General features: G+C 36.6%; 1 protein-coding gene across 3 annotated transcripts in view, besides 1 other annotated feature; it reads left to right on the top strand.

Annotated features, from left to right (window-relative positions):
- The window catches only part of DROSHA (drosha ribonuclease III), a 131,600-nt gene that overhangs the window by 57,685 nt on the left and 59,593 nt on the right, over window positions 1-14,322 (top strand). For all 3 annotated transcript variants that reach the window (NM_013235.5, NM_001100412.2, NM_001382508.1), the window contains 4 exons: window positions 2,177-2,346; window positions 6,346-6,470; window positions 8,128-8,227; window positions 10,066-10,173. In NM_013235.5, coding sequence (NP_037367.3) covers window positions 2,177-2,346; window positions 6,346-6,470; window positions 8,128-8,227; window positions 10,066-10,173 — 503 coding nt within the window. The remainder of the gene's footprint in view (window positions 1-2,176; window positions 2,347-6,345; window positions 6,471-8,127; window positions 8,228-10,065; window positions 10,174-14,322) is intronic.
- Window positions 6,692-6,861: an enhancer, noted in NCBI's record as "experimental_84469 CRE fragment used in MPRA reporter constructs". NCBI's record gives its function as "activates a minimal promoter by MPRAs in K562 erythroleukemia cells, with activity observed for both the introgressed and non-introgressed 5:31467740 variant alleles {active_cell/tissue: K562}" and the evidence as "EXISTENCE:reporter gene assay evidence [ECO:0000049][PMID:34662402]".

Genomic DNA, 14,322 nt, shown 5'->3' with positions numbered 1-14,322 from the left:
CCTGGATGACAGAGACCCTGAATCAAAAAGAAAAAAGAAAAAAAAAGGACTTTAATATATGAAATTTGGGGGAACACAAACATTGAGTCCATAACACTATGGAAGTTAGCTTATTACTGATGACTTTTGCATTTAAGGCAGTTGCTTTGTAATGAGGCATAAAAAAAAGTCACTGCTACGAATTAGTAGATATAACATATCTTAATGTGGGTTGATGTATTTTGTGACTTTGTCACTTCTTGGACAATCATTATTATTTTTTAGAAGCACAGTGTCTTTAGAACTTTGATTAAAAGAACTTTATTTTCTGAGTGTTATCTACAAAGATTCATTTAGGAACCATTGTGATCAATCATTATTAGCCTATGTGCTTCCTGAGCGCCTAGAGCTTGTGGCATTTTTTTCCCTAGTGATACTGACATGGGACCACTCACAGTGCATGGCACATATGGTGAAAAACATGCTCCCATCTCAGAGTCAACTCCAGAGCTCTTAATGAGCGGTAAAGCTTTGTAAGATCTGACTTCCCTGCTGCCTCTCTCACATTCTTCTGACTTCACACCATCCACAGTGGCCTCTTTGCAGTTCCTAGGCACAACAGTTCCACTCCACCTTAGGGCATTTGCTCTTTCTTCTCCTCTTCCAGACTGCTGCATGGTAGCCTCCCTTGCTCCTTTCAAGTTTTGCCTACGTGAAACCTCTTAGAAGATTCCTTTCTTATCCATCCTTTTAGATACAACTCTAGTTCCTTGTCCTGTTTGATTCTTCTTTGTAGCACTCACCTCAACCTGATCTTTTATGTAGCTCTTTTATATTGTCTCTTTCTACTGCAGTAGAAGCTTCAGGAAGGCAAGGCTTTGGCTGTTTCCATCATTGCTGTGTTCTCAGGGCCTAGAACGGTGGCTGTTACATAAAAGGCACTCAATAAATATTTGTTGAATGAATGAATATTTGGATGAATGAGTGAATGCATGCCTACATATATATTGGCTGTAGAACAGCAATGTGGTCTAGTTCCAGAGTAACATCTCAGATGGAGGAACACAGCTCACACAGAAATGTTGATATTTTCTCTCTTTTCTCTCAGACATGCAGTCTTGTTTAAGTTCTTAGCCCACAGCAATTCACATTAAACTTGTTTAGTGCACCAGACTCAAACTGGGTGCCACTAATTCCTCTGACCAAGGAGGACACTCTCTTTTGTGCCATCCCATTGCTGCCATCTTGTGCTCTTTGTCCCTTTCTTTCTCCCTGAAGTGTTTGGTCCTGTACTACTGTTCATAGCCTATCTCATAACCTGGGAGAGGGTAATGATTGTCCTCTTCAGGGCTCTTGTCCTTTGTTTGGTTGGGTGTAGGCAAAGAAAAGAGATATAAAATGGTTGCCCATGTTGGTCCAGAAGTTAAGTCCAAAGAGAAGGCAGAAGCCTGTGGACCCCACATTAATGCCCAAATGAAGTGGATGTCTTTAGTTCATCAAATACTAGATTAATTGGCTTTTTCCAAGGTACTTGAATGATGCCCTTTGTTATTTTTATCCCCTGTACTTGGTGCTATATGCTTCTGTAGGCCTCAGAGCACTTGGTTTTTTTTCCATGTACTAACTCCATAATGATCTTCCATGATATTAGCACAGGCTCTTTAGCTCTGTTCATCATGGCAGGTGCAGCACATTAGCACCAAAAAATTAGACCATAATGCAACAACAGCTTATTGAAGACATCCATAAATATCTCACAAAAGCTTAGAATTTCCTTAAGACAGTAACATCACTTCTAAAGAGCTTTCATCTGTTACCTCAGAAAGAATGATAAAATATTTAAGACCTAACATGGTTCTGTATATTATAAACTATGGTTATTTATGCTAGGTGGCTTTAAATTTATTTAGATAGGCACCTTTTTTATATTCATACCTCACAAATGGAGCCTTTTATCATTTATAATGTTGTTGTTGCCAATTTAGTAAATGAGATGGTTTATGAGCACTGTTCATCAATGAAACAAATGGCTTTCATATTATTTGGCACCTGGTTAAACAGTGTAAATTTTACATTACCTTTTTGTATGTGCTCTTTTTCCTCCATTGTCTTGTTTTTTTCCTTATTCAGTTGTTGATTTGCTGTAAGTTGAGTAGCCTTATTTTTCCCCTTCTCTCCACTCCCATTCCCACCCAAGATGGAGGAAAGGAAGTGCTGTCCATGCACCAGATTCTCCTGTACTTGTTAAGGTGCAGCAAAGCCCTGGTGCCTGAGGAGGAGATTGCCAATATGCTTCAGTGGGAGGAGCTGGAGTGGCAGAAATATGCAGAAGAATGCAAAGGCATGATTGTTACCAACCCTGGGACGGTATGTTCTGGTGTCTGTATATTCAGAGGCTGGAGGACCTTCTTTTCCAGATCTGAATGTTTCATGAAAACAGTAACAGCACATTTTAAAAGTTTTAGGTAGTCACTGCTCTTGTCCTTGGATAATTTTTCCTTTAAATATTTAGTAAATAAGAAAATATTACAATTTAGGCATATTTGGTCGTAAATTCACCTAATTTAGTAAATTTATTCTACCTGAAGATAGGTACATTTTTAAGGCTTTTGACGCATGTTGCAGATTGCTTTCCAGAAGGGCTGTAAAATTTGTACTCTGGGAGCATATGAGAGCAACCATATCTTCATGCTGGTTATACTAAGGGAATTTGATGAGAGTTGGGGGGCGGGAAATGTCTTAGTTCAGTTTTGTATTTATTTTGATTTCTAAATGTTTATTGCCCATTCATGTTTTCTTTTGTTAATTGCTTGTTAATATCCTTTGATCTTTTTTGTAGCCTTCTTTTTTATTGATCCTCCGCCATAATTATTATAAATATTTTACATTTCTTTGGGTGCTACTTAAGTTTTTTGTTTTAAAATTAGCTTTTAATATTCAATTTTAGAAGTAAAAAATGCAAACATTAAAAGGATATAATTAAAAGAAAACTAGTTCTTATATAAAGACATAACATTTTCTTTATATCAATTTTTTTCTTCTAAATTAGTGTTACTGTTTCATAAAATAGTTATATGTTGGCATCTTATAAGGATAAAATTTTATAGAAATGAAGAATTAAAATATTTCCGTGAAAATAAATGGAATAATCTACTTAACAAAGCTGTTGTTTTCCAAAAAGCTGCCAATTGCTTAATAGCTTTGATTCATAAACTAAAAACTCTGGATCTACTTTTTGTAGCATGACAGTAACATCTGCACAAACAAAATGTTGCTATTTGCAAATAAAACATTCTGGCTAGTATGGATTCTTTTAAACAAATCCAGAAAGTAAAATTGTTTAATAAAAATATGTTTAAACATAAAACATGTTTAAAACCAGAAAATCGTATAATTTTTACTGTTATACTGTTAAGCCACATAATTATTAAAGTAACTTTAAAAGAAATATGTAAGTAATAACACTCTCAGAGTAAGACTGTGAATTCTATTTTTATTCTTAAAACAGTTGCATATATTGATATTCCCTCTGTCACTTTTCATGCTGAGTCAGAGGATGGGGCGGTGGTGGTGGCAGATGTCCAGTTTCAGCTGGGTGGTTCCACTTGGAGAGTTCCATGTTCTGTGGTAGACACGGGGGGAGCACGTTCACCCTGGACTTCCTTCCATGGTATAGTTACGTTTTCCTGAAATCTAGAATCAGCTGGAGAGTTTAAAAAAAAACTTAAGGATACCCTGGCTTAAGGATATAGCTACCTTATATACTCCAGGCAGTGAGGCCCAGTTTTCTGTAGTTAAAAAAAAATCCTCAAACGTTTGATTTTCTCACTGCTTGTTTTTGAGCCAGTGGCATAGATGAAGTTTATGATCACCATGATCATCATTCAACTAATTTGTCAAGGGACTACTATATGAGCCAGGTGCTAGTGAAGTTATATGTTAGGCTGGCACAAAAGTAGTTGCGGGGGTCTGCCATACCGCAACTATTTTTGCACCAAACTAATGTATGATGCTTGCCCAGGTGAAAACCCAAAGACCACTAACATATGAAAGGAGTCTTTGATGAATGGTTGAGCCAATGGATGCATCAGGAAAGCCTCTCATTTTAGGAGCTATCACTGGGATAGGCTTGCCAGGGGTGCTTCCTAAACAGTAAGATCTCTGAGGAATTGAGAAATTGTAGAAATTATTGGCATGATTAACTGTGCATCCTTGAGATGCTGTAAAGCCAGTATTAACAACATGAAGTCAGACCTAGTCAGTATGAAAGATTTTTATTGGAAGTTTCAGTGTCAGGCTTAGGAATGTGTTGAAGTTAATTCTTTTATACTGTTTATCTGAAGATATGCTTAAAGGAGGAAAAAAATCTTGAGAATTCAGTATTATGAAAACATCCTACTGAGAAGTGTGCAAGTTACTCATACGACAAGGTAGACACCACACTACATTTCATCCTCTGTAGGACTTGCTTTGAAAGATTGCAAAATGGCAAGAATATTGGGAAATTTATTAAAAATTTCAAGCCATTATGGTCACTTTAAATACTATATTGCTGCAGAACTTAAAAGAATTAATCTTCCAAGGAATACTTTTGTCATTAGTGACTTTTGTCATTTTTTATTCTTAAACAAAGATGGCATAATAAATGTTATAGGGTGTAGCCAAAGTCTAGAATATATTTCATTTCCTGCTCCCTCAACCCCTGCCATAAATTTAGAGATACTATAGATATTTTAAATCACTGTTTCCTGTGTTGGTACCATGGCATGGTGTTTAAAATCACAGAAACATGAATAATTCAATAGCATTCTATTCCACAGTTCGCATTCTAAAAATGTATCCTGCTGTTTTGTTGTACAAAATAATGAAAGTAATTCTTTGACCTTAAATAGCACGTTGCTACTGTTGATGGGCATTTAAATAATTTTATAATGGATTACATGTGAACAAAATATTTTCCATTTTCAAATTTTGAGAGCAGAGACCAACTTTTCAAGAAGCTAGTGACATTTTGTTTGTTAAATGACACTTAAAAAGTTTGAGGGGTTTTTTTTTTGTTTTGTTTTGTTTTTTGAGACAGAGTCTCACTCTGTTGCCCAGGCTGGAGCACAGTGGTGCGATCTCAGCTCACTACAACCTCCGCCTCCCGGGTTCAAGTGATTCTCCTGCCTCAGCCCCCTGAGTAGCTGGGACTACAGGTGTGCGCCACCACGCCCGGCTAATTTTTGTATTTTTAGTAGAGATGGGGTTTCACTATGTTGGCCAGGCTGGTCTCGAACTCCTGACCTCGTGATCCACCCGCCTTGGCCTCCCAAAGGTTTGAGTGTTTTAAGTAATGTGGGTGAATTCACCCAAGTTTATCCCTTTTGTCACCTCATTGAATATTTGTCAGATGGCTGGCTGGTATCACAGTTGTAGGTAGAGTGACCAGTTTGTCCCAGTTGCTGAGAGATTTCCTGGTTTTAGCATTGAAATTCCTCTGTCCCAGGGAAACCAGGCAGCCAACCAGACTCTAATTGTTGGGCATTGTTGTGGGACAGAATGAAGATTATTGGCCTCTGTGTGAATCAGTTTTAACAGCCTTAGCCTCCAAAGCAACTGAGCCGCAGACTCTACAGTGTGCTAGTGAAAACTGAATCTCTAATTGAGACTGTCCTGAGAGGTGATTATAAGGAAGGAGGTTGCTGAAACCTGTTCTCTGTGATTTTACCATCTTTTCATAAATTTAAGCTTTCAAGATGAAAGCCATTTCACAAATGATCCAGAAGGAATGAGCCATTCACTTCTTCCTTTATTAGACATGAAGAAAAAAATATGAGGCTCTCTGTTAAAATACACAAATGTCCTACATGGACATAATAAAAGAAGCTTAACTATTTGGCCTTTGCACCACTATACTTTCTAACTTAAAGATGTAGAATTAAAGGAATACATAAGATCCACTGAGAACAAGTGAGGGAAAAAACTTAAATAGAGGCATCTGTGCATTCTGAAATGTGAAATTAAAGCAGAAGAGGCTCTGCCTGTGATGTGGAATCCTTCCCCTGTGCCTTCAGAGAGGTTAAGGAAAAGTTATATCTGACTAGGTGTCCTTTTAAAAGTTTAATTTTTAAAGGTTTCTATGTGGACTGCAAAAAAGGACAAAATCATTGTTCATTATGCCAAATGGCATAGGCTCATTTACAAGGATGACATTATAGTTTTTAGATAGTATAGCTGCTGTAATTAAAGGGTTTTAAATGACCTTTTCCCTTTGGGGACAAGGCTTTCCTGGAAAAAAGTCCGATTTATTCCTTCCCTACTTAGGTTAAAGTCAATACATAAAGACTTCTTATGGGAATAAATGGCTTTGATTTTTCTCTCTAGAAACCAAGCTCTGTCCGTATCGATCAACTGGATCGTGAACAGTTCAACCCCGATGTGATTACTTTTCCGATTATCGTCCACTTTGGGATACGCCCTGCACAGTTGAGTTATGCAGGAGACCCACAGTAAGATATTTCTCAGTGTTTGTCTTAGCCAATTTCACCTTCTACTAACAGCCAAATTAGCAGAGAAATACCCTTTAGTGGATGTTTCCTTTTTAAAAATTAAGACCTGAAATGAGCCATACTTCCAATTTAGATTACCCAAATGAAACAATTGTGGTAGCTCCTGAAGAATTATTTTCTGTACATATTTGAGTGCAAGAAACTATTATTCAATAGAATATTTTTGGCAAACTTGGTCAACATAAGTCCTTGTATGTTTTTAAACTTTAAGGAACTTTTTCTTTATTCATCCTTATAATAATAATTATTATTTTTTATTTTTTCAGTGCCCTCTAGAGGAAAGTAGCACATATTGGTTCCTAGCACTGCCGAATTTATGCAGAGTTCTCTTTTTGGGGGCATCTTAAGAGTTCAAGATCACATGCAAAGTCAAGGTTGTGTTGGAAGTAGGAGCCGTGACTTCTGACTCTTAGGATTGATGTAACTTTCCACGTTTTGATTTTTCCAACTGGCATGTTAGTGTTTTCTGGGAGAAGATTTAGGATGTGTGGGAATGGAGATAGTACCATTAGATTCTTCGGGACTGTTTGGATTTCCTACCTTGCTAAACACACAAACAGCTTCCTGACTTATTTTTTTTTTTTTTTTAAAAAGGATTCATAGTGGGAGAAAAGGGCATGGGAGATTTTCAATTCATAAATACAGTTCTGGCTGACATATATTAGAAGAGGCTAAAGGGTTTTGTTCTTTTTTTTCCCCCTTTGGATAAAAGTATGAAGCAGTGAACCAGGCACTGTGTAAGTACTTCTTTCTTTCCTCCATTCTCTTAAAAAAAAAAAAAAAAGTTTTCAAAAAAGGAGAGGCCCAGCTAAGGCCAAGAAAGGAACAGTTTTAATGTGACAGAAAATCTTTGGAAAATCCCTTCTTGTCAGAAAAATGTTAGTAGAATGTGATGAGGCTCTCGTGGACTCTCAGATGGCAGGACTGTGAATTGATAAAGGACTGCATATTCGCTTCATTTCCAGGACGCTTTGACAGTATCCTTTAGACTGGTCTAGGTTATCACTTATTTGGCTGCAACAAATATGCTTATATTGTCATGGTAAATACAAATTGGTATACACCATTAGTCTTTTATCCTCTCCAGTGGACAAATGGATACAGCTATGTAGCTTGGGTTTTGGCACAAATGGGGTTCTCTATTCTAATACTCTTCAACTTATATTTGGTATAAGTAGTTCAGCAACTGACAGTCTCCCTAAGGAAGGGGTCTTTCTTTCAACAAATATCAGAAAGTGTATATTTAAATAAAATCTGTTATTTTCAAGAGGTAACAGTGAGAAACAGGATGATTCCTTTGGTTGAGGTGTTTTTGTGTCTTTGGAATTCTTTCCAGAGATTCATTCATATAGTCACACCTCATTTCCAACTGAAATAAGCAATAATCAACTTAATCACCAGGTTCCAGTTGACTCTTGTCCATCCTGACTCTCAGCCTCAAAGTCATAGCCTTCCTTAGAATGATGGCTTTCTGCCATTAAGAATAATCAAAAGAATGTAATGTATGATTTGAAGAGGCCTCTTAAAATAACTGGTTTTGTTGCATTTTAGGTTTACCTCCTCTTTACCTGAGATGTTTGCCTGTCCTTTTCCTTAGGTACCAAAAACTGTGGAAGAGTTATGTGAAACTTCGCCACCTCCTAGCAAATAGTCCCAAAGTCAAACAAACTGACAAACAGAAGCTGGCACAGAGGGAGGTCTGTATCAAACTCCATTCCTTGGTGATTAACGATGATGTGCTTCAGGTTTATTTCGTGATTGTTGTATCACACTATACTTCTGGTACAAGATGGAAAAATATTTTTTTAAAAAAATCATACTTTACCCTCCTCCCCCCATTATTATACGAATTGATTTTAAAAAATCTTTTAATATTTAAGAGAGCCTTTTTATCCCTGTATTAGTCTGTTTTGCATTCCTCTAAAGGAATACCTGAGACTGGGTAATTTATAAAGAAAAGAGGTTTATTTGGTGCACGTTTCTGCAGGCTGTACAAGAAGCATGGCACCAGCATCTGCTTGGCTTTTGGGGAGGCCTCAGGATGCTTTTAATCATGGTAGAAGGTGGATGGGGAGCAGGCACGTCATATGACAGAAGAGGGAGGAAGAGAGGGAGGAGGGAGGTCCCAGACTCTCTTTAACAAGCAGATCTCACATGAACTCATTACTGTGGGGAAGGCACCAAGCTATTCTTGAGGGATCCACCCATGACGCAAAAACCTCCCACCAGGCCCCATCTCTCACATTGGGTATCATATTTCAATGTGAAATTTGGAGGGGCCAAAACATCCTAACTGTATCAATCCCTAAAATGCCAGTTTCTTAATGGATTATTACCACTGGGAATCAAACATATCTTTTATAGATATTAAAGCTTAAATTTGTTGAATCAGCCTTTTATCTTTAATTTGGTTGCACATTATACAACATTGGGCCTTACTCAGATTTCTTGGTCTTAAAGTTGGAAAAGATTGTCTTCCATTGGTCTGCCAGTTTAGTATGGTAAACTTATTTTGTAAGGTTTCATATCCCAAATTCCATATTTCCTTACTAATGGGTAGTATTATCCCTGTAATCCAGGATAACTTACGTTTTAGTTTTAATTATAAGAATAAACGGTTTCAGTATCAACATAGATTATTGTCTCAGGGAGGTTTTATTCTGCTGGGGTTGTGTAAGAGCAAGGCTTTGAAGCTGGAAAAAGTGTTTGAATTCTGGCTTTGTCACTTACTGTGATTTAGGCCAATCAGCCTGTTTATAAAGGAGGGAACTAAGGTTGAGAGGCTGACTGAAGTGTTCCTCCGTTGGTGCACTCAAGGAAAAAGGTAGTTCCATGAACTTCTGAAATACGCCATTTAATGGGCCTCTTGTGCTATTTGGCCTGTAAAAGGAACTTAATCAATAGTGGGGGTGGGGGTGGTTCCTGTTATTATGAATTCCTATGAGATTTTGATTCAGTTGCATGCATGCAAATATACAATTATTTTTACAATTATTTGAAGGGCCGTGAAAGGGAAGAGTTAGTTCCTAATCATGTCTCACAGGTGATATTTTGGATCATAGTCTTTTTTTATATAAAGTATGCCATTGTAGCAAGAGTTTTTATAAGGGTTTGCAAGTTAGAAGGCAACTATTAGAATTATGTGGGTCGCAGGTTAATTTGCTTTCTTTCTTAGAGGTAAATACTTAACATGAGGCTTGATAAAAATTTTACATGCTCATTTCAAATCCCAAACCACATTTTGCTTCCTTTATCAATGAAAGGGCATATTTTGTTCAAAAATACCAGAATGGTAGATTTGGTTTAGAGTTTTTCTTATCTAGTTGCCAAGAAAGGCTGGGCTGTGTTATACCCCAAGCTTTGAGCATTCCAGCCTCCATTTTAAAGAAAATATTGTAATTTTGTATGAAGAGGTTTGAGTATCTGAATGTAGGGGTAATATTAAATGAATCCAACTTATTTTCTAATGCTTGATGTTTGGCTTACTATTGCTTTATAGCAGTTGTGTTACTCATCATAATGAATTCTTTTCTAGGAAGCCCTCCAAAAAATACGGCAGAAGAATACAATGAGACGAGAAGTAACGGTGGAGCTAAGTAGCCAAGGATTCTGGAAAACTGGCATCCGTTCTGATGTCTGTCAGGTGGGGAGACTTCTGAGGACACAGTTATGCCCATACTTTTCTTCCTTTAAAACAAATCTGGTACTGAGGGTTTCTTAATTGAGAATGTTCTTTAGAAAATACTACCTTGAGACTAAATGGAATATCAACTATAAATTGTTTTCTATTATTTGGATTTTGTTTTTGTTGTCTGTTTTGATGCTGGTGTGTGTGTGTATGTTGTATTTGTGGGTGCTGGGGCAGGGAGAAGCTTACTTAGTAGTGTTCAGTTCAGTGTCTTCTCTTTGGATAAAGGTAAGTCTGTCCTCATGCATCTGCTCATGCATCTGCCTGTTTGCAGCACATGTATAGGTGCTTATACAAAAGAGATAATCCAGCAGCCATACAAGCAGACTCGTAAAGTGTATGTTTTCTAGACTGATGACTCAAATTTACATTGCAATTTATATTGCAGAGAACTGAAGGCATTAATGAACAGAATCAGTGTATACTTCATATTTGAACCAAATGATAATATATTTTCCCTGGGTGAACGCAATAGAGTAACATTTCTGCTATATGTAACTGACTGACTAATAAGCATTTTTGTTTTTCCTATGGGTGGAATTTATATGTGATTAAAGATCCCCTAAACCAACATATTCTGTTTTTTCACTTGATTCTTTTGTCACAATTGATATTGGATGAAGTCCATGAGAATTACAGTAAAGGAAATGAGTACTCAGGCTATGGTTAGGTAATGCAGTTTGCTGTGTTCAGCCTTTTGGAAGAATACTTCCAGGCTTCCATTTATCTGTTTCGATGGTAGCATGTGTTGCAGTAAGTTCAAGCAGCTTACTCTTAGCTCTTCTTAGTGTTCATTTCATCATAATGAATTTTTTAAAAAATCAGTGTTGGCTTTTAATTATTATATTGACTAGCAGGGTTTAAAAGTATTGCTACACAATTTATTTACTAAGTGACGTCCAAAGCTAACTATTTTTGCATTAAGATGAACTGCTATTGGTGTAATATTGCCCTATTTTCAGGGTAATCATCTACAGTGGTAGCCAGCTATTTTCACCAAGTCTACAATTATTTTACCGATTGACAAATATCTTATGACTGTCAGTACTTTCAGATGAATATTTTACTTCCATTGATTCTCTCTCAGGGCCATTTGAAGCCGTATCACCTGGTTTTTCTGTTTGTCAGTGTTTCCCCAAAACCAATGTAATGTCATCCAAAGGTGGACATCATCAGACCAGTGAGCAGAATCCTAGACAGTTTGCTCCAAATCTGATGATCTCAGTGATAAGTCAGAGTTGATTGTCTAAGAGATCATAAAACTGTTGAGCATTAAGAACTAGAAGGCGCCTTCCAGACCTTCTAGTTAGTAGTTTTGAACTTGTGTTTTTGGTTAACTTCAAAGTATTTTTTTTTCATACAAAACCCTTCTAGAGCCATTATTTGTAAAAAGATAAAGAATAACTGCCTGATTGACTAGTGGGAGATGGGAGTGGAGACAGTATCCTGTTTTACTTGATTTCTCCCCCACCTCCTGTAGCAGTCCCTAAGGCCACTGAATACAGTATCTTTTTTTTTTTTTTCTGAAGCATTGAGCCTTTTTTTTTCTTTTTGTGAAGCAAACAAGAGTGCTGAATTATCTGTTCCAGTACAGTTTTGTATTCTTCAGCTATATCACAAATGTCCTTCCTCTACCCTCAGCTAGTTGAGAAGCAGCTGGAGGAGTAAGTGATCTTGTCTCTTGCTGTGTGATATGCTATATTCTGTTTCGAGGTTGGTAGGCAAAAGGACTCACTCAGTTTCCTTGCCTAACTGGTGGAAGAAAAGGGATCCCGATTAAACTCCTGCAAAGGTGAATGCTTTATGATCTAATAACCGTTCCTCCCTCTGTAGAACTCTCACTCTTCCAGAGAGAACTGCCATCTGTTTAGAAGCCATGCTTCCATTCTCTGGTCCTCTGAATGGAAGTCTTTTTAAGATTTTGATAAAATTACTCATATGTAAATGACTTGATAAAGCATGTAAATTGTTGCCTATGAGTTCATATACTGAATACAGAAGGAATTGCTTTATGGTTTGTAAAGAAATGTCTGCATATAAATGAATGAAAATGAGCCAGCAAGCTACCTGAGAAGTCCATAGAAGCGGAAGAGAAGGAAATGCCACTTACACAGTGGCAACATGGGGGCTGAGAGTGAACTATTAAAACCAAAAAACCCTGTACTTTGGTGAAATAGTACCTTACACACCAAAATCAAATTATCCTGGATGCATTATTTAGCTGTCAAGGTTAGATGAACAGATGAAGTATCTGTTTATTTTGACATATTAAATATTATTTCACCATCAGTGAATATTCTTGGGGTTGTGAAAGTAAATTGTTAACCTTCATTGAACTTAAAACATCAACATATGGAAATTTGGAGGTGTTCATCAACTCATTCATGACACGGGAGCAACCTAGTTCAAACTTAAAAAAAAAAAAAACCTTACAGTAAGGTTTAGGGGAATATGATTTAGGGGAAAACGGCAAAAGTAAACTAGTGTAGTTGACTTTGGGCTCAAAATAAGTATTTTTGCAACAAATATTTTCATTATGTTTATGTATACCTTTCCTTGTTCCAGAATGAACTGGAACTGGTAACTGTTTGAAGTGGTAACTGTTTTTATGAATGTGGGAATAAATAAACCACTGACTATGCAAGCCATGGGCTAGTCATTTGAAACTCCCTTGACTCTTCTCACTGAGCTTTCTCTTAGTCTGTCCTATTGCATATTAATGGTCAGAAAGTCTTCCTTTCTACAGATACATCTTACAGAAAATCTTTGACAAGTAGAGAACTTCTGGGTACATTTTAACTAAGAGTTTTTGCCACAGTTGATACGTTAGCTCTTCCTGGAATTTTTATGTTTTAAAATTCTCAGGTATTTTACATGCATCACACAAAGGTTCTGAACAGTTGCCCTTAAATTATCGATGTTTGCCATATATTTTGTTTGAATTTTTTTAACCTTGAAATTCCTTCAGTGGCAGCAAAGCCATTCCCTCTAGTTTTGTTGTAAAGAAATCAGATAAAATGTTTTATCATGTAGCATTAATGACCAAACATCTATGAATATATTTTGGAAGCTGTTTTGGTCGTATTTTTAGGATAGGGTAGTCTTTTTACGTCCTTAATAAATGTTTAGTCCAGTGCAGGTTTGTCTAGTCACAAGTCGTATATGCTAACATTTTTTATTGTTTATTTGGCCTTTACTTTGTTCTTAACATAAAGATTTTAATGAATGTTTAATAAAACCTGTAATTTTTTGAGAAAGGGACCAACAGTGTTTTTGTTGTTGTTTTTTGCCAGTAGAATTGGCTGTGGCTTACAATGATATTTAATTTCTTATATTAGAATAAATGTTTTCTTTTGTGTTTTCCTCACATAAGCTGGTGGCATATCATAATGCAGTTTAAAACCTCCAAAATAAAAGCATTTAGTATTTTTGGTAATGAAGAATAAAAATCTAATTGACTGGGAAATAGCAGTTAAGTGAATTTATACACTGAATACTTTGAATAATTTTATGATTATTCAAAGTCTTTGAACAGATAGGCTCATAATTTTTACAAGAAAGGATTTATTTAAAATCCTTGGTAGTTTTTCCTCTGTGTTTGGTAGTTCATTGATATAGAACCTACTGTTTTTTAGTAATAATTGCTAGTAGGTTGCTAGTGAAAGCCTTGAGATGCTATCTGGTTTCTGCAGGAGACGAAACCATTGCGTTAAATCTGAGATGGAGTGACCTCAGTACCAGCATCTCCCTCTGGAAGTACATTTTCCCCAACCAGAGAAGCTACCAAGGATTGTTAGGAGATTAGAAAATTCTACCTGGTGCCCCAGCCAATGTTAAGAGGATTGAAAACCTAGGGGTGGGTGCTATAACTTGTAATTATATGTGAACCGAATGTGGACCTGTCACTATGTTTGTAGATAAATTGTTGAAGAATTTTTTCTGTGTTGCTGCTTGTTAGAGTGAATTCTGGGTAATATGGAAGAAAAAGGAATCAAAACCTGAATCTGAGTCTAAAAAATTCAGCATAATGACTCAGAAGAGGAAGAAAAGCAACATGCTGCAGTAAGACCTGTATTTTTTAAGAATAGGGTTTCACACACTGAG

The sequence above is a fragment of the Homo sapiens genome, chromosome 5 (genome assembly GCF_000001405.40).
Source record: "Homo sapiens chromosome 5, GRCh38.p14 Primary Assembly".
NCBI lineage: Eukaryota > Metazoa > Chordata > Mammalia > Primates > Hominidae > Homo > Homo sapiens.
The sequence above is the reverse complement of the archived record's forward strand: the minus strand, read 5'-3'. Positions and strand labels throughout refer to the sequence as shown.